General features: G+C 42.8%; 1 protein-coding gene across 2 annotated transcripts in view; it reads left to right on the plus strand.

Moving 5' to 3' along the window:
• Nucleotides 1-25,859, plus strand: part of DRC1 (dynein regulatory complex subunit 1) — a 54,792-nt gene that overhangs the window by 18,486 nt on the left and 10,447 nt on the right. The window contains exons 3-10 of one of the 2 annotated variants that reach the window (NM_145038.5): nt 883-995; nt 3,866-4,049; nt 9,223-9,360; nt 10,381-10,467; nt 11,479-11,601; nt 19,973-20,112; nt 23,817-23,951; nt 24,311-24,543. In NM_145038.5, coding sequence (NP_659475.2) covers nt 883-995; nt 3,866-4,049; nt 9,223-9,360; nt 10,381-10,467; nt 11,479-11,601; nt 19,973-20,112; nt 23,817-23,951; nt 24,311-24,543 — 1,153 coding nt within the window. Of the gene's footprint in view, nt 1-882; nt 996-3,865; nt 4,050-9,222; nt 9,361-10,380; nt 10,468-11,478; nt 11,602-19,972; nt 20,113-23,816; nt 23,952-24,310; nt 24,544-25,859 lie in introns of those variants that run through there. The other variant, XM_047446339.1, reaches the window with a different exon arrangement.

Here is a 25,859-nt window from a genome sequence, read left to right on the forward strand (position 1 = left end):
TATCTGCCTCACTGTCATTACCTGCCTCACCTCCCCAACTGAGGTTCTTCGAAAGGCTCCCGGCAGTGTCAGTCACTTGGAGATCTGCTGGGGACAAGGCTGAGATGAATGTACAATATCTGCTGGTATAAAAGTTGGCTGGTGCCTTCTCTACAGTGAATAAATAAAGTACATTGAGAACTGCAGAGTGCTTTTTTTAAAATTTTTTATTTTGCCCAGGATTGGACAAAAACTTACCACAGTAGGATACTAATGATGCCCTTCTAGCCAAACGCAGTGGCTTTTCTCCAGGCCTCATCATATTATGACTGGATACTGGACTTTTCTTTCTCTTTTTCTTTTTTCTTTCTTTTTCTTCTTCTTTTTTTTTTTTTCTGAGATAGGGTCTCACTTTGTTGCTCAGGCTGGAGTGTAGCGGCGTGACCTTGGCTCACTGTAACTTCTGCCTCCCAGGTTCAAATGATTCTCCTGCCTCAGCCTGCTGAGTAGCTGGGATTACAGGCACCCGCCACCATGCCTGGCTAATTTTTGAATTTTTAGTAGAGATGGGGTTTCACCATGTTGGCCAAGCTGGTCTCGAACTCCTGACCTCAAATGCTCCACCCACCTTGGCCTCCCAAAGTGCTGGGACTACAGGCATGAGCCACTGTGCCTGGCCAAGAACTGCAGAGTGCTTTTAAATTGTGAGCTGTAAAATCACATCACAAATGTCCTGATAGAAAAGGGTTGCTACACAGAGGCTACTCTTAAAAATCTTAAGGTAGTTGCTGCTTCCTGCTTGAATGGATAGAAGCTGCGGACAGTTGTGCAAAAATGTTTCAGACTTTATATATTATTTACAAAGTGTTCTAGCTTTGTAAATTCTTATATCTCTCTTTTTAGAAATTGGCTAAACTTCTGCTCTGTGGCACCGAGTTGGTGACAAATATCCAGGTGGCTATAGATATCAGAGAGATTCACAGGAGAGTCGAAGAAGAGGAGATAAAGCGTCAAAGGTAAGGACTGTGCTACTCTGCAGCTGGTGGACATGAAGGTAATCTCCATGGGTCCGGCAGTTCTCCCGAATTGTTGGAGGGTGACTTTGTCCACCTTAGACAATTCCCTTCCTGCCCTTATAACTTCTCCCTCCCTCCCTCCTCTTCTTTCTCTCTCTTTTTTTTTTTTTTTTTTTTGAGACAGAGTTTCGCTCTTGTTGCCCAGGCTGGAGTGCAATGACGTGATCTCGGCTCACCGCAACCTCCACCTCCCAGGTTCAAGTGATTCTCCTGCCTCAGCCTCCTGAGTAGCTGGGATTACAGGCATGCGCCACCAAGCCAGGCTAATTTTGTATTTTTAGTAGAGACGGGGTTTCACCATGTTGGCCAGGCTGGTCTCGAACTACTGACCTCACGTGATCCACCCGCCTTGGCCTCCCAAAGTGTTGGAATTACAGGCGTGAGCCACCGCGCCCGGCTATCTCATCTCTTTTCTTTCCTCCCCTCCTCAAGCACTACATTGCTGATACGTGCCAAGCTGTGTGTATACAAAAGGAGTGAAACACGGCCTCTGTTTGTGGTATTCACAGTCTAGTCAAGAGACACATGGAAACACCCATAATTCGTGGTAAAATAGATAATGTGTAAAGGGTTGTAGTAACACACACAAGGAGGCCTTTAATTCTATCTGCAGAGATTACAGAAAACTTCCCAGGCAAGGTGACGTTGAGCTGGGCTGTGAGGGATGAATAGGAATTTGAGGAATTGAAGAGTAGGCATTTTAGGCAGAGGGAACACTTGAGCAGAGGTGTGAGATCACATGATGTGCTTGGGAATGGCATGATAGCGAAGGATGTATGCGGGTAATGGAAGAAAAGAGAAGAGGCTAAGAAGGTCAACTGGGCAGTCCTGGGTTTCAATTGGTGAGAATGACCAGACCCACGAATACCTCAGTGTTATGTGTAAAGGTGGCAGCATTATTAAAGAATATTGAGGGCTCCATGCATAGAAGGATGGAGGTTCACAGGGATCACAAGAACCTGCGTCAAGTCCTCAGCTCCAGTCCTCAGGAGGCAGGCTGCCCTGCACGCCCATGTCCCAGGTCTCAGGCTGTCCAGCAGGGAGGCATAAGCGGCTTAGAAGAATTAAACTTCTTTGGTTTGCACACAGAAGTAGACTGATAGCAGGTCCTCATTTAAGCTTTGGATTGTTCTTCAATTAATTTCTTAAACAATTAGAAGAACAACCACTTGGCCAGGCACGGGGTGGCCCACGCATGTAATCCCAGCACTTTGGGAGGCCGAGGAAGGCGGATTGCTTGAGGTCAGGAGTTCAAGACCAGCTTGGCCAACATGGTGAAACTCCGTCTCTACTAAGAACACAAAAAATTAGCTGGGTGTGGTGGCGCGTGCACACCTGTAGTCCCAGTACTCAGGAGGCCGAGGCAGGAGGATCACTTGAGCCCAGGAGGTGGACGTTGTAGTGAGCCAAGAGTGTGCCACTGGACTCCAGCCTAGGCAATGGGAGTGAAACCTAGTCTTTAAAAAAAAAAAAAAAAAAGGCAACCACTTGACCATTTTGTCTCATCATATACACACAGGGGTCGATTTTAACAATATTTTTAGTTGTTCAGCATAAGCAGTTCCCTCTTTAGCAACTTTAGCAGCCCTACCAGTAAACGTGGGTGACTTTTATTCTCGAAACTTCCCACTGCCTGTATGGGCTGTGCCAGGAATGGAGTCGGCAGATTCCCAGCAGGGTCAGCTTGTGAAAGGCAGGGAAGGTCATGCAAGGAGTTAGGCCTTGTCCTCTAGCCACAGAGGAATGCTGAAGGTCCCAGGTGGCAGGTTACAAGGTCAGTGTGCTGCGGAAAGATGACCTGACAGCTCTTTCTCATTTCTTGAAATAAAAAAGTCAATTAAATTAAAAAAGTGTCCTAGCTTGGAAGGTGGGGTGGGTGGGGGATGGGACAGGAAGAGGGGATTGCAGGATGTTTAAGCTGTGACTTCGGTTCCTCAGGGGGTTTGTTTGGAGGTGCTCTCATAGGATTAGTCTGTTACAAGGAGCAGAGAGTCTCTGGCAGATATCTTAGCCACTGTTCCCAGAGGGGCCCCAGCTCAGCTCTCCTGCCTTCCTGCCACCTCGCCCCAGCCTCGGTGTGCTCTATCACGGAGGTTCTTTGGAATTTATGGAAAGGCTGTCCCTATTTTCCATCACTCATTGGTGGAGTTTCCATATTTGTACATTCCACTAGTCATTTATTGGTAACTTGGGAGAGGAGTAGCCAGACACTTGAGGTCATGTTGCTAATATAAAATTGATAATTTAAGCACCATGTGTTAAGTGACTCCCATGCTGAGCACCTGTGCTGTGTGCAGCATCTTATTTCATCCTGACAACAGCCAGCCACTTGAAGGTAGATACTTTTCATCCACGCCATTTTACAGAAGAGAAAAGTGAGGCTTGAGGGAGTTATGCAACTTGTCCGAAAGGTTGACAGTCAGTTAGGAGCCAAGTCAGGACTTGAACATAAGCTCTGTGACTCCAGAGACCCAGTGTTTAACTGTTGTGTGTTATCATCTTACTCAGAAGCAGGTGACCAATCGATCTTGGTGTGTGTGCGTGTGCACGCGTGTGTATGTGTGTGTGTGTGTAGCCTTAATGTTGATCTGTTTTTGCTATGTGTCATTTTCTTTACTTGGCCTAAGTTATTTACAGTCAAGCGTTAAACGAAAAGATTTCTCAGCATTGAGTTTGATTTTGGGCGGGTGTGTTTGGGCAGTGCCTAGTACCTGGGTCTTATATTCTAGAGATTCTAGAGAACGTACCTGCTCTACTGGAAGGCAGCATCTGGAGCTGGGTTGGCATGGCTGGCATGTATGTATTTGCAGGATTGAGAAGCTGGAGAATGAAGTTAAGACCAGCCAGGACAAATTCGATGAAATCACCTCAAAGTGGGAAGAGGGCAAGCAGAAGAGAATTCCCCAAGAGCTGTGGGAAATGCTCAATACCCAACAGCTGCACTGTGCTGGACTCTTAGAAGATAAGAATAAACTCATCAGCGAGTTACAGCAGGCAAGAGGCCCGGGCCCTCCAGCCCAGCCACAGGGGATCTGCCTGGGATTTAGCTGGGTTACTGGTTTGCTTTTCCTGAATGGAAAAATGTAGAAACCTTTTACTTCATTATTTAGAATGCTGTACAAGTCATGTTATAAACTTTTTTCCATGATGGTAAGAAACACATAGCATTAAATTTGCCATCATAACCATTTTAAAGTGTATAGTTCATGGGCTGGATGAGGTGGTTCACTCCCATAATCCCAGCATTCTGGGAGGCCGAGGCAGGCGGATAACTTGAGGTCAGGAGTTTGAGACCAGCCTGGCCAACATGGTGAAACCCCATCTCTACTAAAAATATAAAAATTAGCCGGGCATGGTGGCACATACCTGTAATCTCAGCTACTCAGGAGGCTGAGGCAGGAGGGTCGCCTTAACATGGGAGACAAAGGTTGCAGTGAGCCGAGATCGCACCACTGCACTCCAGCCTGGGTGACAGAGGGAGTGAGACTCTGTCTCAAAACAAAAACCAAAAAACTGTATAGTTCAGTCATGTTAAGTATACAGCATTCAGATGCAATAGATCTCTAAGAACTTTTTCATCTTGCAGCATGGAAATTCTATGCCCCTTAGACACCAATTCCCTCTTCCACTTCCCCCTAGACCTTGGTAATCACCTTTCTACTTTCTGTTTCTGTGATTTTGACTACTCTATTAGATACTTCCTGTGAGTGAAATCATACAGCATTTGTCCTTTTGTGACTAGCATATTTGGCTTAGTATAGATGGACTTCGTTGTAGCACGTGACAGGACTGCCTTCCTTTTTAAGGCTGCGTAGTATTTCATTGCATATATATACCACATCTTGTTTTATACATTCTCCTGTGAATGGACATTTGGGTTGGATTTCACGTTTTGGCTTTTGTGAGTAATGCTGCTATGAACATGGGTATACACGTATCTCTTTGAGATACTTCTTTGAATTATTTGGATGTATACTTAAAAGCAGGATGGCTGGGTCATATGGTAATTCTATTTTTAATTTTCTTAGGAACCTCCATACTGTTTTTTATAATGATTGCACCATTTTACATTCCCACCAACAGTACACAAGGGTTCTAACTTCTCTGTATTCTCACTAACACTTACATCCTGTTTTTTTGATAGCTTCCGTGTTGATGGTGTGAGGCGATATCTCATTATGGTTTGGATTTGCATTTCCGTAACGATTAGAGATGTTGTGCATGTTTTTCATGTGTTTATTGGTCACTTGTATATCATCTTTGGAGAAATGTCTATTTAAATCCTTTGCTTATTTTTAAATTGGGTTGTTTTTGAGTTATAGAAGTTCTTTATGTATTTTGGACATTAACCCCTTATCAGATATATGATTTTCAATTATGATTTCCTATTCCGTATATTGCCTTCTTAGTCTTGATTTTTTTTTTGATGTGCAAACATTTTTGAGTTTGGTGCAGCCCCGTTTGTCTATTTTTGATTTTGCTGCCTGGGATTTTGGTGTGATATCCAAGAAATTATGGCCAAATCCAATGTGCAGAAAGCTTGTCCTCTATATTTTCTTCTAGGAGTTTAATAGTTTTAGGTCTTTAATCGATTTTGAGTTATTTTTGTATATGGTATAAGGTAAGGACCCAACTTCATTCTTTTGCCTGTGAATATCCAGTTTTCTCAACATCATTTGTTGAAGAGACTATCCTTTCTCCACTGTATAGTCTTGTCAAAAGTCATTTGACCATAGATGCAGGGGTTTATGTATCATTCATTTATCATTTTGACCCTTGTCAAAGCCATTTGGTCATATATGTAGGGGTTTATTTCTGGGCTCTCTAGTTCCCTTGGTCTATATATCTATTTTTATGTCAGTACAACATTCTTTAATTCCTGTTGCTCTTTGCAGTTTTGTTTTTGTTTATTTTTTTTTTTTTTGAGACTGAGTCTTGCTCTGTCGCCCAGGCTGGAGTGCAGTGGTTTGATCTCGGCTCACTGCAACCTCCGTCTCTAGGGTTAGAGCAATTCTTCTGCCTCAGCCTCCCGAGAAGCTGAGACTACAGGCATGCACCACCATGCCTGGCTAATTTTTGCATTTTTAGTAGAGATGGAGTTTCACAATTTTGGCCAGGCTAGTCTCGAACTCCTGACCTCAGGTGACCCACCTACCTCAGCCTCCCAAAATGCTGGGATTACAGATAGGAGCCACTGCGCCCAGCCTGTAGTATGTTTTGAAACCAGGAAATGTGGGGCCTCCAACTTTGTTCTTTTCTCAAGACTATTTTGGCAATTTGGAGTCTCTTGAGATTCTGAATTTTACAAATTTTAGGATGGTTTTCCTATTTCCACAAAAAATGATGTTGGGATTTTGTTAAGGACTGCACTGAATCTATAGATCACTTTGTATAGTATGGACATTTTTAACAATATTGAGTCATCCAGTTCATAAGCACAGGATATCTTCCATTTGTTTATATCTTCTCTGATTTCTTTTAGTAATGTTTTACAGTTTTCAGTGTACAAGGCTTTTGCCTACTTTGTTAAGTTTATTCCTAAGTATTTCATTCTTTTTGGTGCTATAGTAAATGGATTATTTTCTTAATTTCTATTTTGGATTGGTCATTATTTGCATATAAGAATGCAACTGATTTAAAATTTTTTAAACATTTAATTTAATTTAATTTTTTTGAGACAGAGTCTCGCTCTGTCACCCAGGCTGGAGTGCAGTAGACTGATCTTGGCTCACTGCAACCTCCACCTCCTGGGCTCAAGTGATCCTCCTGCCTCAGCCTCCCAAGTAGCTGGGATTAAAGCGCACATCACCATGCCCAGCTAATTTTTGTGTTTTTAGTAGAGATGGGATTTCACCACGTTGCCAAGTCTGGTCTCAAACTCCTGACCTCAAATTACCCACCCACCTCCACCTTCCAAAGTGTTGGGATTACAGTTGTGAGCCACCGCACCTGAGCTTTTTTTTTAAATTTAAAATTAAAAAATTTTATGGGTAGGTGTATATATTTATGGGGTATATAAGATATTTTGATACAGCCATACAATGTGTGATAATCACATTGGGGTAAATGGGGTATCCATCACTTCAAGCATGTATCATTTCTTTGTGTTGCAAACATTCCAGTTATACTCTTTTAGTTATTTTAAAATGTACAATAAATCTAGCTGACCTTAGTCACGCTGTTATGCTGTCAAATACTAGATCTTATTCATTCTAACTATATTTTTGTGCCTATTAACCATCCCCATTCCTCCCTGACCCTCCACACTACCCTTCTCAGTCTCTGCTAACTATCATTCTACTTTCTATCTCCACGAGTTCAATTGTTTTAATTTTTAGCTCCCACAAATGAGTGAGAACATGCAAAGTTTGAATTTTTGTGCCTGGCTTATTTCATTTAACGTAATGCCTTTCAATTCCATCCACGTCGTTGCAAATGACAGGATCTCATTCTCTTTTATGGCTGAATAGTACTCCCTTGTGTATAGGTACCACATTTGCTTTATCCATTCATCTGCTGATGGACACTTAGGTTGATTCCAATTCTTGGCTATTGTGAATAGTGTGATTTTTGAATTTTGATTTTGTGTCCTGCAACTTTGCTGAATTTAAGTTCTAACAGGTTTTCCTGTGTGTGAAATCTTTAGTTTTTCTGCATATAAGATCATGTCATCTGTGAACAAAGATAATTTTAACTCTTCCAATTTTGATGTCTTTTCAAGGGATAAACTTTTAACTAGAAGTAAAAGCTTTGTCATAATTGTAGAATTATTAGCTATCTAATAGAAATACAGTCATGCATCACTTAATGATGGGGATATATTCTGAGAAATGCATTGTTAGGTGATTTCATTGTTGTGAGAACATCATAACATGTGCTTACACAAACCTAGATGGTATAACCTACTACACACCTAGGGTATATGATATAACTAATTGCTCCTAGGCTACAAACCTGTCCGGAATGCTACTGTACTGAATACTGTAAGCAGTTGTAACGCAGTGCTAAGTATTTGTGTATCTAAACAGAAAAGGCACAGTAAAAATACCATATTATGGCCGGGCACGGTGGCTCACGCCTGTAATCCCAGCACTTTGGGAGGCCGAGGCAGGTGGATCACGAGGTCAGGATATCGAGACCATCCTGGCTAACACGGTGAAACCCTGTCTCTACTAAAAATACAAAAAATTAGCCAGGCATAGTGATGGGCGCCTGTAGTCCCAGCTACCCGGGAGGCTGGGGCAGGAAAATGGCGTGAACCCGGGAGGTGGAGCTTGCAGTGGGCCGAGATCGAGCCACTACACTCCAGCCTGGGCAACAGAGCAAGACTCTGTCTCAAAAAAAAAAAATACCGTATTATAATCCTATGGGACCACTGTCGTATATGTGGTCCATCATGGACTGAAATGTTGCTATGCAGCACATGACCGTAGTATTTTTACAGCAAATGCTGTTCCAGAGTTTAGTCCTTAGTTAAGGAATGCAACTTAGTCTGCAGTAGATATGTTCTCGTGTTGGAACCTGGACATTAATTGCTCAGCTAGGACACTCTAGGCTTTCTGGGAGCTTGCAGGGAGATTTGCAGCAGGTGATAACATTGAGGGGTTTGGTCCTGGGTGCTTGTTAAGAGCTTTGCCCTGAGCAGAGTCCATTCCACTCCATCTACTATGCTTTATCTCAGGCCTTCTAAGACTCTTCTGAAACCACTTTCTCTTTGTACAGATGATTATTATTATTATTATTATTATTATTATTATTATTATTATTATTATTGAGACAGGATCTTGCTCCATCTCCCAGGCTGGTGTGCAGTGGTGCAATCATGGCTCACTGTAGCCTTGACCTTCTGGGCTCAAGCGATCCTCCCACCTCAGCCTCCCAAGTAGCTGGGACCACAGGCGTGCACCACCACATCTGGCTAATTTTTATATTTTTTTGTAGAGACAGAGTTTTGCCATACTACCCGGGCTGGTCTCCTGAGCTGAAGCACCTGCCTCAGCCTCCCAAAGTGCTGAGATTATAGGTGTGAGCCACTGTGCGCAGCCCTCTTTGTACAGTTTCATGTCCTAACATTGACAGATTCTGGTGAGAGGAGTCTAGAGAGAGTGTTTGGCACCTTCTGCTCCTGACACAGTTTGTGGCCAGACTTTTACATGCTCTTTTCTAGGAGTTAAAAACAAAGGATGACCAGTATGTGAAGGATTTGAAGAAACAGTCAGATGACATCTGCCTGCTTCTGGAGCGGATGGAAGAACAGGTGAAGAATGTGATGAAAACCTTTCGTGAGGAGCTCTATAACATTGAGGTAACAGGGTGTGAAAAGACCTGGTTTCTGCTCTTGGAGGGCCCCTGGGAGGAGGTCTAGGTCTGTCCTAATAATCTAAGGAGGGCCCTACATGACTTCTCTGTCCGCTGATTTCTGTTTCTGCTCTCAGGTTTTATTAATTTATTTACTCATTCATTCATATGACAAGTACATATCAAGTGTCTACTATATGCTGGGCACTGTTCCAGGGGCCTGGGGGTGCAGCTGTGAACAAAACAAAGTTCCTGGTGGAAACTGTATGCTAGTAGGAAGCAGCTAGACAATAAACAAGTTACTAAATATATTATTTTACAGGTGGTAATAAGTGTTTTGAAGGAAAATAAGACGAGCAAGAGGTTGGGGAATAAAAAAGGGGGATTAGCACTCCATAAGCATAAAGCCTGTGTGAGGCATTTACTTGTTTCTTTAAGGCAATTGGGGCAGACAGTGGCAAAGGGGAGTGCTGCATAGGATTCAGGAATCAGTATTTTGAATTTGAATGAAATGTTCAAGATTGAGATTGAGATTTAGCCCTTTCCAAGATGGAAGAGAGCCAAGAAGGTGGAGGCCTCTCTCTCTCTCGGTTGTTAGAGACTCATTTCTGCATTCCTAAACCTACCCCTTGTGAGTTTCATGCTGCCTTTGCTTCATGGGATCCCCAACCATGGCAACGAACGCATCAGTGGTAGTCACAGTTGAATTACACACCATGGCCTGCCGTGTGACTGCCAACAGGGGCACTGGCCTTCCTCCAGTTCCCTGCCTCTGATATTGACTAAGCCACGGGACTGTTGGCACATCTCCTCTCCGCATTTGGAGTATCGTCTTCATAATGCTAATTTCCATGCAGCTCCTTCCATAGCCATTTGGTCTTATGAAACTTGGCAGGTCTGAATTTGGATTTGACTTTTTCTATGTGGTTGGTGATATGGCACTTATAGTTACCTGAAAGTTCTTTGACACTGGTGGGACCTGCCCAATCAAAACAGATGCAAGAGTGTTTTTCCTTCTTGGTCGTAGAAAGCATTTGAGGTGGAACGCCAAGAGCTACTGGCCAGTAATAAGAAGAAATGGGAGCAAGCCCTTCAGGCTCATAATGCCAAAGAGGTAAAGGGTGGAGCCTGTCAAGAGTGATCCGTGGGGTCTGGGTGATTTTTATTGTGACTGAATTTGCTAGCTAGCCTTTTTCTATCTTTTTTTTTTTTTTTTTTTTGAGATGGAATCTTGCTTCTGTCACCAGGTTGGAATGCTGTGGAGCAATCTCGGCTCACTGCAACCTCTGACTGTCTGGTTCAAGTGATTCTCCTGCCTCAGCCTCCCGAATAGCTGGGATTACAGGCACACACCACCATGCTAATTTCTGTATTTTTAGTAGAGACGGGGTTTCACCATGTTGACCAGGATGGTCTCGATCTCCTGACCTCATGATCCTCTCGTCTCGGCCTTCCAAAGTGCTGGGATTACAGGCGTGAGCCTCCGCGCCCGGCCGCCTTTTTGTATCTTAAGTAGAATTGCTGTGGCTGAATGCTACTGCGTTCATTACTGCATTTCCTAGCTAATCCGTGTGGCCTTGCAGATGGGGATTGTCTCTTGGGTGGTGGTGAGTACCACCCGGGCAGCTTGCTGTGTTTTCCGTGGGCCCGTCACTTTCCCCTCTGTTTACTGGGTATCTCACCCAGCTGTGAATATTCATGGCCCAAGGTGTTTTAAGACACCTTTTTAAAGGGTGTGGGATTATCACTTTATTTCAGAGTTGTGAAGAACAAATAAGTGACTTGACCAAGATCCAATAGACTTTTTAGAAATATAAACATCTGATTTCAGGGTCTGTGCGTAATTTCTTTTCTTTTTTTTTTCAAATATTTAGACTTCAAGGAGATGAGCTTAATTTCATAATGGAGCATTCCTCTTAGAGTTTCTGGAGTAATGACCGCATTAGGCAATACAAGCCAAGTCCTAAAAGCCTTGGGTATTCAGGACTTCTGAAAGCCACCAGACTCCCTGTGGAGCCATGAAACTTCCAAACTCTCCCCTGTGTCATGCTGGGCAGGCCATCCGAAGGATTGAGGTGGGGCAAGGATGGTCCCTAACTTTTCCCTTGTCTTCCTGTGCCTTTAGCTGGAGTATCTTAACAACCGCATGAAGAAAGTAGAGGACTATGAGAAGCAGCTGAACAGGCAGAGGATCTGGGATTGCGAAGAATACAACATGATCAAGATCAAGCTGGAGCAGGATGTGCAGGTGCAACAGCTGGTCCTCACTAGGGTGCCTGGGTGGCGGAGCAGATGGTGAACACCTGTGAATGTTTCATATTTAGCAACTACCTGTGATATTCTAGAGGTAGTCCCTTCAGCACGTATTTATTAATCATCTGCCTTCTTTTAAATGTTCATATCTGAAGGAGCTCATGTACAGGAGGGATGCTTTCTTTAAGAAACCAGTGGAGGTGAGCTGAGCACGGTGGCTTACACTTGTAATCCCAGCACTTTGGGAGGCCGAGGCATGAGGATCGCTTGAGCCCCGGAGTTCGAGACCAACCTGGGCAACATAGTGAAACTGTGTCTCGGCAAAAAATAAAAAGAAATTAGCTGAGCCTGGTAGCACACACCTGTAGTCCCAGCTACTCAGGAGGCTGAGGTTGGAGGGTCACTTGAGCCCAGGAGTTTAAGGCTATAGTGAGCTGTGATCATACCACTGCACTCCAGCCTGAGCAACAGAGCAAGACTTTGTGAGAAAGAGAGAAAGGGAGAGAGAAAGTAAGAGAGAAAAAGAAAGAAAGAAAAGAAAGAAAGGAAGAAAGGAAGGAAGGAAAAAGAAAAGAAAAGGAAAGAAAGAAAAAAAAAGAAAGGAAGAGAAAGAGAAAGAAAAACTGCTAAGATGCTACAGAGGTCTGGAAGCCATTTTCTCCTGGCAAAGGAAAAATGTCCCTAGGCCACTTTGGCTGTGTCAGAGAGCCAAAGCTAGGACAGCTACTGGTAATAATGGCAGCCATCAAGTGAGTCTCTCCCATATTCCAGGCACTTAATGAATGGTATCTCTAATCCTCATCACCAACAGCATTTTATACATCAGAAATCTGAAGCTTAGAGACAAAGCTATATATCTAGTACACGATAAACCCTGGATTCAAATCCAATTCTGTCTGGCTCAAAAGCCTATATTCTTCCCCTTATTTCAAACAGCCCCTTGACTGATGGTTGGAAATTTCAGTGAGGCAAATTCTGACTATCAGAAATAAGCTTCTAAGAGCTAGAACTGTCTAATATTCAGAAGGGCGTTCCACAAAACAAAGATTGCTTTATCTCAAAATATGCAAAGGCTGAATGACTGTGTCTGTCTTTGGTATTGAAGAAGGATTCCTGCAGTAGTAGGAGGTTATTTCTGGTTTCTAAAGTTTTTTCCAAGCCTAGGATTCTGTTACAATACCAGCTAAAAAATGTATCTCTAATTACATGTAGATGTAATGTAATTGCATCTTAATATTCAAGTATGGTCTGTTCATTTCAGTCTCTATGTAGAAAAAGGTGTTAGATGAAAGCTTTTCCACGAAGCTTTTGTTAGAGTTTCAGTTCTTTTCCTGTTACTTGATATCATGAAGTTAAATTAAAAACCCCATTGGGTTACAAATATATTTACCAGTCTTGAGAATTTTCCCAGGTCCTTCTCATATTAATGTCACAGAAATGAGAGTTACTGACAGAACACTACAAATCTGTAATACAATAGCACTATTTCTGTGGGCTGTACATGTGATATGATTTTACTGAAAATGGCTATTGTTAAGCTTTCTGAATTTATCTTGTTTCTGTGATAATTTATGTGACAAAACTACATACTGTTGGCCTCAGTGAGATATATGGAATTTCATGTCCTTAATCCAATGTCCAAATATTTGAGTGAAGCAAAAAATTCTAGGACATGGGGAGATCCTGGGGTGGGTGTAGGAGGTAGGGTAAGATCAGAGAAGTGGTGGGCAGGGAGGCAGGGAGCCTGGGAGACCTGGTACCACTGGCTGTCCCTGTCCAGGTTGACTGATGGTGGCATGTGTGCAGATGGAGACATTTCAGGCAGAAAGGGGTCACAGAGCCTTTGCGTCCTAGTTCTTTCCTGTGTCAGATGGAAACCGAGGCTACCTGTACCACTTTCCACACTGTAACAGAGGGAAAAAAAAAATCATCCAATCAGGGACTACCCATGTGGCAACATGTGGAATGTTTTAGTAGGTTAAACTTTATCATAGTGACTCTTAAGTGTATTTTCACTAGACATTCAAGCCAAATGGCACTGATTTTTGTTAAGAAGATATAACATGCAGCTCAACATCAAATTTGCTCTTTGCAACTAATGCATAGCACTCTATCAGTTCTAAAATATGGAACTAAAATTCTTGCAAACCACAAAAATAGGAAGGATACAGTACACATAGATTTGGATGATGGGTAAAGTACAAGAAGTAAAAAAAAATGTCTTACTATTCAAGTGCTTACTGCCAGTAAAGGTCATGTTATGAATAACAGAGCAAAGAGAAGCCTGTAAACATTGTGTACTTAGGGGGAAACTCCCTACCGCTGCCCACCACCCTAAAAGAAAACTGCTAGAAACATTTAATTCTTGATGCAGGAAGCAAATGTTTTTATCTGTAGGCCTTATACAATCATTTAGGATTGTAAGATGTTCAGCTTAAACTTAGGGGCTGTTACCTTTAAAACCAGAATATTAATCCCCCCAAATTAAATATGTTGTTTATTTACACTATATTAATTTACATTGTGCAAAGCACAGAGATAAGCAAAGTACAGCTCCTGCCCTCAAGGAACTTATAATCTATTAAGAAAGCAAGCTACCGCCAGGCACGGTGGCTCATGCCTGTAATCCCAGCACTTTGGGAGGCCGAGGCAGGTGGATCATGAGGTCGGGAGATCGAGATCATCCTGGCTAACATGGTGAAACCACGTCTCTACTAAAAATACAAAAAATTAGCCGGGTGTGGTGGCGGGCGCCTGTAGTCCCAGCTACTCAGTAGGCTGAGGCAGGAGAATGGTGTGAACCAGGGAGGCGGAGCTTGCAGTCAGCCGAGATTTCACCACTGCACTCCAGCCTGGGTGACAGAGCGAGACTCCGTCTCAAAAAAAAAAAAAAAGAAAGAAAGCTACACAAATAGTGTCAAAGAGAAAGAGATGGGGCAGAAAGGGGGAGCAACAGTGTGGCCTGAGATGACATTGCCAGTCTTAGGGTTCCAACATGGAATCCTGCAGGCCCAGTTTAGGGTCGAGATTGTGGTAAATAGGCCCAGTGGGGTCTCTAGAGTCAGCAGAGAAGGCCAGAGGGAAAGACTGTTTTAAATTTCCATCCTGCTGGCACATTGGTGGCAGTCTCTTTCCCTGAGCCCATGGGCAAGAGATGACACCCAAAAGCAGCTGTGGAGAAGCTTGTGCTGCTCCAGGAAAAAGGAGGGAAGGTGTTGTCAACACTTATGCTACCTTTACCGTAGAAGGACTTTTGTGGCAGGTTAGCTTGTAATCTTTATTGATGACTCATAAAACACAAACATCATGTTTTGCCATTAGTCTTGGGAACATGAACTGCAACTTTGCAAAAATATCTTTGGATAATTGAATAATAAGCACAGACATTTAACAAAATCAATTACAGGTATTTTTAACTTTTATTTTAGGTTCAGGGTACATGTGCAGGTTTGTTATATGGGTAAACTGCACGTCATAGGGGTTTGCTGTACAGATTATTTCATTACCCGGGTAATAAGCATAGTACTCGATAGGTAGTTTTTTGATCCTCTCCCTGCTCCCAAACTCCACCCTCAAGTGGGCCCCAGTGTCTACTGTTCCCCTCTTTGTGTCCATGTGTTCTCATTGGTCCCACTTATAGTGAGAACATGTGGTATTTGGTTTTCTGTTCCTATGTTAGTTTGCTTAGGATAATAGCCTCCAGCTCCAATTATGTTGCTGCAAAGGACATATTCTCATTCTTTTTTTTTTTTTAAACTTTATGTCAAACCGTATGATGTTGTTCTTTTTATGGCTGCATAATATTCCATGGTGTATACGTACCACATTTTAAAAATCCATTCTACCGTTGATGGGCATCTAGGTTGATTCCATGTCTTTGCTATTGTGAATAGGCTGCAATGAACATATGCATGCATGTGTCTTTGTGGTAGAACCATTTATATTCCTTTGGGTATATATCCAATAATGAGATTGCTGGGTCAAATGGTAGCTCCGTTTTACGTTCTTTGAGGAATTGCCACACTGCTTTCTACAATGCCTGAACTAATTTACCTTCCCTCCAGCAGTGTGTAAGCATTCCTTTTTCTCTGCAACCTCACCAGCATCTCCTGTTTCTTTTTTTTTTTTCACTTTTTAATAATAGCCATTCTGACTGGTGTGAGATGGTATCTCATCGTGGTTTTGATTAGCATTTCTCTAATGATTAGTGATGCTGATCATTTTGTCATATGTTTGTTGGCTGCATGTATGCCTTCTTTTGAAAAGTGTTGTTCATGTTCTTTGCCCACCCACTCCCCCTGCCCTTTATTTTTTGGAGACAGGGTCTTCCTCTGTTGCTCAGACTGTAGTGCAGTGGCATGATCTCGGCTCACTGCAGCCTCGACTTCCCAGCAGGCTCAAGCAAACCTCCCACCTCAGTCTCCCGAATAGCTGGGACTACAGGCACATGCCACCATGCCTGGCTAATTTAAATTTTTTTTTGTAGAGATAGGTTCTCACTTTGTTGCCCAGGGTGGTCTCGAATTCCTGGCCTCAAGCAATCCTCCCTCTTTGGTCTCCCAAAGTGCTGGGATTACAGGCATGAGCCAACATGCCCAGCCATCCATATACATATTATTATGTAATAACCTGCCTTTAAGAATGAAATTCACATGAGCATGCATATGGTAGAGCTTGCATTTATAGTTCACATGCTCTTGTTGTATTGTAAATATAAAAACAATCCTATGGCCAAATAAGTCTGGGAAATGCTGTCTTAGGGATAGGGGATTATTGCAAGGCCAGGAGAAGAAGGAGGGCTTCCTGGAAATCATCGGAGTAGACATTCAGGCACTCTGGGTCTCAGGGCCCCCACATGGGTCAGTTCCCGGGAAGACAGAACAGCCATTCATTGTCATCCCAAATGGAGAGCAGTTCCGAAGACCCTCCTTCTCTGTGAGTGCTCATACGTTCTCAGATGGTTACATCCCATATGGAGCTTTTCTATTGGACTTTTGTGCCGAGCTGCCTTATAGACCAATGGCTTCCCTTATGTTCAGTCCACGTGTATTTGGTTTGTGTTCTGATTCCTGACCCACTCACGATGACCAAGGTTGGTAACATTTGAAGTGGCAGAGCTGGTTTCATTTGAGGAATGGAGGCATAAATCATTGCAACTTTGCAAGAAGAGCTTCTGAGAATCCCTTTCCTGGGAGACACTCAGGGCCATCCCTAGAAGGGGACAGGGCCCAAAGCAACTCAGCCTGGGACCACCCAGATAACTGCCATTGAAATGAGGCTGTGCTGTTGTTGGCATCATCCATAGGTCCTTTGGGATACTGTTCAACTCAGACATTTCAAAATTAAATTTTAAACAGGCTCAGAAAGGGTCCTTTGTAGTTGTAGTTGAAGCTTCTGGCAGCTCCCTGCCCTGCCCCAGGTTCCCTCCGCAAGGGCCAGGCCTGCACTTGGAGCTGCAGGGTCTGCCCGGCACGATGCTCAGTGCTGACAGGATGGGGTGAGGTGGGCACTTGCACCCATGGCCAGTGGGAGCATAAACCATAGGTTGCTCTTTGGAAAGCAATTTATTGAGAACTTTTGACTTAGTCATTTCACTTCTACGAATCTACCATAAGGAAATAAATTTCCCTAAGAGTTGTATATATAATTTGTCCCAGCATTATTTTATAGAAGAGAAAATTATTAAAAGTATATATAACTATATATATATACACACACACACACGACTGTAGGGAAATGGTAAATTATTATGACATGGTAAACATATTAAATATTTCATATATGATGAAGCGGCATAGTATATAAAAGTATTCTAGCCTGTAATCCCAGCACTTTGGGAAGTCAAGGCGGGCAGATCACCTGAGGTCGGGAGTTTGAGACAAGCCTGGCCAACATGGTGAAACCCCATCTCTACTAAAAATACAAAAATTAGCTGGGCGTGGCGGTGGCACACACCTGTAATCCCAGCTATTTGGGAGGCTGAGGCAGGAGAATCATTTGAACCCGGGAAGTGGAGGTTGCAGTGAGCTGAGATCATGCCACTGCACTCCAGCCTGGGCGAGAAAGACTCTATCTCAAAAAAAAAAAAAAAAAAAAAAAAGGATTCTGTACCATTAAAATGATGTTAATAAAACTTTACTAACATGGAAAATTGTTGTAATATTGAGGGAGGAAAGTAGGATATAAAATTGTAGACACAGTTTGATTCCAACTATGTAAAGGACAGTGGAGGGAAACACGCCAACATTAACAGAAGTTGCCTTTGGGGGTGGAATTATGAGTAGCCTTGCAGCTTCTTTCTCCTATGTCTTCTTTTTCATTTGCTGTACTTTCCAAATTTTCTACAATGAGCAAATATTGCTTTTGCACTCAGGAAAAGTTTTTACAAAGAAAAATGTATAACTAGAAAAAGTAAATAAAAAATAAGTAAGTAGGGAAATTGAGAGGTAGGATTAGTTATGATCTCAGGGACTCATATGGTTCTTCATTTACCATCTGTTAAAAGATATTACAGGCTTCTGTTCTGAAGGAGACATTCAAATACTCATCTCATAATGGAGATGAAAAAATCTCTGCCATGGTGACGCAGAATATCCTTGACTAATTCCCTCTGTGGCAATGTGGGTGGGGATCGCCGGATTCCACAGCAAACATGGAAAAGATGTGCTTCCTGACCCAGTGAAGCGTCACCTCCTAGCCAGGGGCCCTCCTCGAGTATGACCCAGAGTAGGCTGTGATAGCCACTTGGAATCACTTCCTCTGTCGATTCCTGGGCCAGAGTCTGTAGTCCAGCAGAGGGAGATGGGATGGAGGCTGGAGATAGCACACACGTGGCAGTTTTATTGAGTTTCTGATTCCACTTGATTGCCTTCCCCATTCCTGCATTTCACTCGGGAGAAGCAGGAGCATGCCAGCCTCCAGCCTTGCCTCTCTCTGATCTTTTTTTCACAAACTGTCAGGGTGATCTTTCTACAGTGACTGGACCAACCATTTTCCTTCCCTGCCTAACATTTTCAGTGACCCTCCATTGACTTCAGGATAATGCTTTAAATTCCTAGCTTGGGAAGGCTCTGCTGCTCTGTCAGCCTCATTTCTGACCATTCCTTTCCTCGTGCCTCACATCTAAAACTTCTTGTGGTTTTCCCAAAGCACCCACCCCCCTTGCCTCATATATGCTATTTCCTCTCTCTAGAGCGCTCTCCCTTCAGGTGGCACCTGCGTAACTCCAGCACATTCTCTAGGTCTCAGCTAGACACGCCGTCTTCCAGGGATCCCTTCCCTGGTCCCTCAAGACCAAGGACAGTGCTCCTCTCATTGGTCCCATAACGGTCTGGCCTTCCCTCTATCTTGCTTCTTATCACTAGTGTTTGTTTATCTGCCTCTGTTCTAGACAGGTCAGAACTATGCCTTTCTCACTAGTGTTTTCCCAACAGCACCTTGAAAAGTATCTGACATAGATTAGGCACACAATAAATAGTTGCTGAATGAATGAATACAGCTAATGGAAATCCAAAAAGTAAGGATGACTGTGTTTGTCCTCCTTTTAAATGAGCCTGGGTTGCTAAACACTAACACTTCTACCCTGGAAGGTCAAAGTGGGGGAAATTTCAAGTTTTTGTGGCCATATTTATTTCTATGGTGTTTTTAGAGGGGCTACTCATATCTCTAAAGGGTCTGGCGGAAGTTAGCAGAGTTATTTGGACTTGAAAGCTGTGTGATCTCTCTTAGGCTTTAGGTACACAGATTTTAGCTTATAGTTCATTGACTTGTATTTTATCTGGTTGGCCTTTAACTTGACTCTCATGATACATTTTCTAAAAATGCAGGCTGAGGCACTTGTCCCTAAGGTTCCTCTGACATGACTTGAACAATTTATCAGAGGCCCACAAGCTAGGGCCAACTAGTGTGTGAATATATATATATATACACACACACATACACACACACACACATATATATATACACACATATATATATTTGTGTTTCAGAGCATACCTTTATTTGCATACAATTTTAGATATAATTCACAGAGCAGATAAGTTTATAAATGTAGGAAAGTTTCTTTTTATATTACTTCCAGTATAAATTTCTACCAATACTTTTACCTCTTTATTCTTTATGAATATAGGTACAAAGATGAATACATCTGAATATGGCTATGCATAGCTAGGTAAATAAACAGACATAAACAGGATTATATAAGTATGTCTATGTAAATATTTACCTATATAAAGCATGTTCCCCAAAAGACATTTTAAATACTCTAGTGTATATAATACTAAGGATGCAGGTGTAGAGTTAGTGTGTTTGTGTGTGTGTGTGTGTGTGTGTGTGTATATATATATATATAGTTTTTTTAACTTTAGATTCTTGAGCAGCAGCTTCAGCAGAGGAAAGCAATTTATCAGCTAAACCAAGAGAAATTAGAGTACAACTTGCAGGTGCTGAAGAAGAGAGATGAAGAAAGCACAGTAATTAAATCCCAGCAGAAGAGGAAGATCAATCGGTAAGCTAGCATGCAGAGCGTCTTTCTTCTGGGCCTTCTGTGCTGAGAATAGGGATGGATATGTACTTTTTTCTATTGAAGGGGTAGAAACCATTAAAAATATAACCAACACTTATTAAAATAGTTTTTTGGAAAAGTTAATACATTCAATCTCTCCCCAAGAAAAGAGTACATAGCAAAAGATCTTCCGTCCCCATTCATCTTGTTCCTCTTTCCTACCTCTGTAACCATTATTTGTTTGTCTCTTCCAGAATTTCATTAGGCATATACAAGCCCACACAAATATTCTCATCCCCCATCTGCTTTTACATAAATGATGGCAGTCTGTACACACTCCTGTATATCTTGAAGGCCTTTCCATCCCAGTTCATAGAGAGCTTTCACAGTTTCTTAAGCTGCTTACTACCCACTGCATAGATGCACTATGATTTATTTGACCAGTCTCTAATGATGGACATGTAGATTGCTTCCAACCTTTTCCTCTTGCAAATAATACCAACCTAAGTACTCATGACATGTGCCAGTTTGCTTTTGTGGAGATACCGTGGCTCACTGAAAGGTACCTATTGCTTGAAATTTCTCATACATCCTTCCCTTCTTCCTCATCTCCTTACTCCTATCCTTCCTGCCTTTCTTCCTTTAAGAATTGCATTCTAAGTTTCAGACCATTGTGCTAGGCTCTGAGGACCAGAGTGAAATAAGACTTCTTGCTTGTGGAAGGAGACAAGATTGGGGATTTCCCTCCAAACCCCAAATAGCCTATTATTATTTAGGAATTAATTCCACTTGTAGGTTGGTAATACATACATTTTGGACACATGTTGAATGTATAGAGGAACATCAGTTGACCTTTTGGTAGTTACTTATTACAGAAAATGATACTGAATAAATGGGATGGCATCTTAAGCCTGATTATCTGAGAAATAAGAATAGACAGGGGACAATATTTATGAAAAAATTCCCACTATATATGCACCGTACTAGATAGCAGAACATCCAAGAAAGGCACACATCAATACAGTGAGGAGGCACCTGGGAAAGCTTCCCAAAGAAGTGAAATACTGGAGGGGGTGGGGACATGAATTGGCAAAAAGCAGTTAAGAGGAGACTCCAGGTGGACAGTGCTGGCAGCTGGGAATGGCTGGTCTGAAGGCAAGGAGGTAGGATTCAGAAAGTCACACAGTGGGTGAAGAGAATGGGTAAGGTAGGAGGCGGGAGGAGGCGCTTGAGGCAGAGCTTGGGTTTGATGCGTGTGGCTGAGAGATGAGTGGAATCTTCCCTCTTATTTCAAACTCAGACAGCTTTCCCTCAGCCTGAAAAACCCTTCAACGGACCCTGCTGTTTCTAAGCACCATCTTTTCGTCTCTTGCTTTCATTGCCATTTTCCTTTCCTGCTCACCACCACCCAGCATTTCACAATTTGACATATCTGTTTGTGCTGCTCTAACAGACTACCTGAGACTGGATAATTTACAAAGGCAAAAGTTTATTTCTCACAGTTCTGGAGTCTGGGAAGGCCAAGATCAAGGCTGGCAGGTTTAGTTTCTAGTGAGGGCTGCATCTTTCAGAGGGGAGGGATGCTGTGTCCTCACACAGTAGAAGAGCGGGAGAGCAAGCTGGCCTAAGGCTTTGGGAGGCCTCTTTTATAAAGGCCTTAATCCCATAATCCCATTCATGATGGAGGAGGCCTTATGGCCTCATTACCTCTTAAAGGTCCTGCCTCTTAATATTATCACATTGACAACACTGAATTTTGGAGGAGTTACATTCAAGCCGTAGCAACCTATGACCCCAGGATTGGACAAAAACTTCCCACAGTAGGATACTGATGATGCCCTTCTAGCCAAGCGCAGTGGCTTCTCCTCAGGCCTCATCTATTATGATTGGATACTGGATTTTCTTCTTTGGTTTAAATGACCCTAAAATATTTGCTCTTCTTTCTTAATGTATTTGTTTCCTTTGGTGGTTCTGCTTTTCCTTGCTTGATATGTCTTGAGTATCTAGATAAGACAATCTAGAAAATCCAGGCCTTACCATTGCTTTTAATTTTTATTTCATCTGCCACATACCTCAGTCTCATGGTTTTGAATATCCCCTTTTTGTTGATGACTGCCAACCTCATATCCCCAATCCTGAGCTCACCTTTCATTTACCTGGAACTGCCAACGTAACAGTTCAGCTTGGAGAGGCCCTGTCATTTCCAGGGCACAGTTTCTGAAACCAGACTTGCCTCTGCTCCCTGTTTCCAGTTCTCCAGCCTCACTCCCCTGCATCTCTAGCTTCCAGGCACTAAGAACTCTGGACTTTTTTTGTTGAGCTTCCTCTTGCAGCCATTCTTCCCTGTTCACTTCCTCGCCTGCTATCTTGCCCAGACCTTCAGTATGCACCTGGAGTTTGTTTTGTTAGCTTCGGTAATTAGATGACACATAGGAACTCCTTTACTGCATGACATTGGGAAAAAACACTTTGGAATGACTACTTATTTTTACATCTGTGCTTGGAAAGCCTCCTTGAAGGCTGTAGTTAAGGAAATGGGTTAGCTGTTTCTTTCTATCAGAGACTAAGGTAACGACTTTTTTTGCATTTTCTTGATGATGAAAATATGAATGATGAATGTTTGCATTTGAGAGACATTTTGATCATTTCAGAATAATGCTTAGGAGAGGGAAAATCTTATTTTTAGAATTTCTAAACTTAAAATATGTTGGCCTTCAGCTTCTCTGTTACTGTGTGAATGGGGCACTGATAAGAGCCACCTCTGTAGTAGTTTGAAGTCTGAAGTATGGGCCTGGGTCTAAACATTGCGCCTGCCATGCATATTTTATGGGCCGAGTTTCCATGCACAGAGCTCCTGTTAGCAGTGAGATGGTGAGCTGTGCCGTGCCTGGATTCACAGTGCTATTGGACAGGTTTTAACTGCCTCTTGCTATTCTGGAAATTTTGGACCACCCCCTCCCCTGCAAGCCTGGGTAAGTTAGATGCCTCACCTCTGGGCTCCCCTGGCACCCTGCATAAAACTCTCCTATAGCACTTTCCACGCTGTACTGTAATTAACGTTTGTCTTTGTTTTTGACTAGACTGATAGTACCTTGTATTGAAACGTATCTTTGTATTCATCTTTGTCTTTCAACATATCCTTGCGCAAAAGTGGCATTTCATGTTTGTTTAATGAATACGTGGATGAGTGAATAAATGAATGAATGAATGAGTTACTGGACCTGTTAACGGTATCAGCTCTTTGAGGCTGGAAGATTTATGTATCATAGGCTTTTGTGATATGCATTTTTTTTCTTTAAAATTTTCTTGCTTCATGATTGAATTAAACATCCAAGTCATGACAATGAAATCGTTGAGATAGATTATTTAAATATGTGAGGCTGGCCCTAGGTATGGGTATGGGCATTCTGACAAATGATGTATTGTGAAGTAGGTTCTGTCCACAGTCTTGAGTAGGAGGCTGCCTCTTGGTGGGAATGGGCTCTGGATTGTTTTCAATGCGTTTCGTTTTGGACTGTCCCAAGATCTCCTGTTGCCTTCCTTTTGTTGATCAAAATGGGATCTGTGTTTTGGAATATATGGGAGGGTTTTCTGCTCTTCCACAGATCTGCTCCTGGGTTTGTGGTAGAGCTGAATCAGGTGGATGAGAGGAACATACATAATACCTTCTATTCAGCTGCAGACTAACCTTTTTCTCCTTCAACCAGCCTGCATGATATACTTAACAATCTGAGATCAAAATATGCCAAGCAAATAAAGCAGTTTCAGGAGGAGAACCAGTCTCTAACCTCGGACTACAAACGTCTTGTGATGCAATTCAAGGAGCTACAGAAAGCCATGAGGTATCTTAAGGACTTGGTCCTAAGGCACTTGTCCTAGCATAGAGGTGACGGGGATGGAGTTTGTACAAGCTGTGATTTCGTTGGACTTGATGTCACCAGCTATTCTGGGGCTGGACCAGGCACTAGTTAACCTTTTGTGGTGTGTTCCCCTGGCCCTTCACTTGCGTGTCACCTGCCTTTTCTTGAGATGTGTTGGGATGGCTTCCAGTTTATCGTAAGTGGGAATCAGCCGCCCAGGGATGGGGCCAGGCCCAGGAATTAGCACAGCTCCTTTTCATATTCCTGCCCTGCTGCTATTTGAGGGGACCCTGGCCAGGTCCTGGGGCCAGCTGGCCATGCTCTGTGACTCTCCTTCACAGGCATTTTGCTCTTATTGATGATGAGAAGTTTTGGGAGATTTGGCTGATGAATGAAGAGGAGGCGAAGGACCTAATAGCCAGAGCCTTTGATGTGGACAGGATCATCCACACCCATCATCTGGGGCTTCCCTGGGCAGCACCTGATTTCTGGTTCCTGAACAATGTTGGGCCTATTTCTCAGCAGCCCCAGAAGTCCGCCACACAGATAGTAGAAGAAATGCTTATGCGCTCAGGTGACTAGAACACTGTCATAGAGCCTTAGAGCTGGAGGAGCCCCCTGAGAACATCGGGTCAAGCCAGTCACGTTAGAGATAGTCTAGGGAGGAGGGGGAAGAGTATGATTATTGGTATCGCTTTTAAGTCTCCTCTAATTTATAGCTTTGCTCTCTCTCCTGTATTATAAACTGGCAGTTAGGTCTAGAAGCTTGATCAGATGCAGGTCCAATTTATTTTTGCTAAGTACACTATTGTGTAGTACCTCCATCGGGATAAACTAATGTTAAATTGTCTCCCTTTTTGTGATGTTAGCAACCATTGCTAATCATTGTCTAAGATCCATTAACTGTATTAGGGATTGCAAAATGGTGATATGTTAGATTCTGTTCTTGTGTCTTTATTTAACAGAATACTTCTTAAAAGAAAATCTTCCCTTCCTCAGCAATTTGCTACCCTGAGATAGTCTGTATATGAAAAGCAGGATAGATGCTTATTTTTTCTCTGTTTACCAGTTTTCAAAATAATGGGTTGGGCCTCTAGCATCTTCCAAAGGTACCAATGAGTTTTTAAAAAATATTATGAATGCATGAGTTTAAACAAATTTGATGTATTTTAGTTTACTAAAGTAATTATCCTTATTGAGGCTCAAATTGTTCCATCTTTGGCTAGTGGAAATCTTCATATTGGCTTCTGGGTCCTTTTGATTCAGCCCTAGTAGTTATTTATTTATTTATTTATTTATTTTTGAGACAGAGTCTCGCTCTGTTGCCAGGCTGGATTGCAGTGGCGCGATCTGGGCTCACTGCAACCTCCGCCTCCCGGGTTCAAGCAATTCCCCTGCCTCAGCCTCCCGAGGAGCTGGGACTACAGGTGCGCACTGCCACACCTGGCTAATTTTGTTTATTTTTAGTAGAGACAGGGTTTCACCATATTGGCCAGGATGGTCTCCATCTCCTGAGCCCGTGATCCCCCCAACTCAGCCTCCCAAAAGGCTGGAATTACAAGTGTGAGCCACCACGCTTGGCTAGCCCTAGTAGTTTTTTTTAACAGCGTCCTGGCTCTCCAGGATGACCAGGTGTTCAAGGCACACATTATACTTTTCCTGCCTCTTGTCTGGAATCAGCCATTTCTCCAAGGATCCCCTGGTCCTTTCAAATAGGGAATTTTTTTTTTTTTTTTTTTTTTGAGATGGTCTCACTCTGTCGCCCAGGCTGGAGGGCAGTGGTGGGATCTCGGCTCACTGCAACCTCTGCCGCCAAGGCTTCAGCAATCCTCCCACCTCTGCCTCCCGAGTAGCTGGGACCAAAGACTCATGCCACAATGCCCAGCTAAT

The sequence above is a fragment of the Homo sapiens genome, chromosome 2 (genome assembly GCF_000001405.40).
Source record: "Homo sapiens chromosome 2, GRCh38.p14 Primary Assembly".
Classification (NCBI taxonomy): domain Eukaryota; kingdom Metazoa; phylum Chordata; class Mammalia; order Primates; family Hominidae; genus Homo; species Homo sapiens.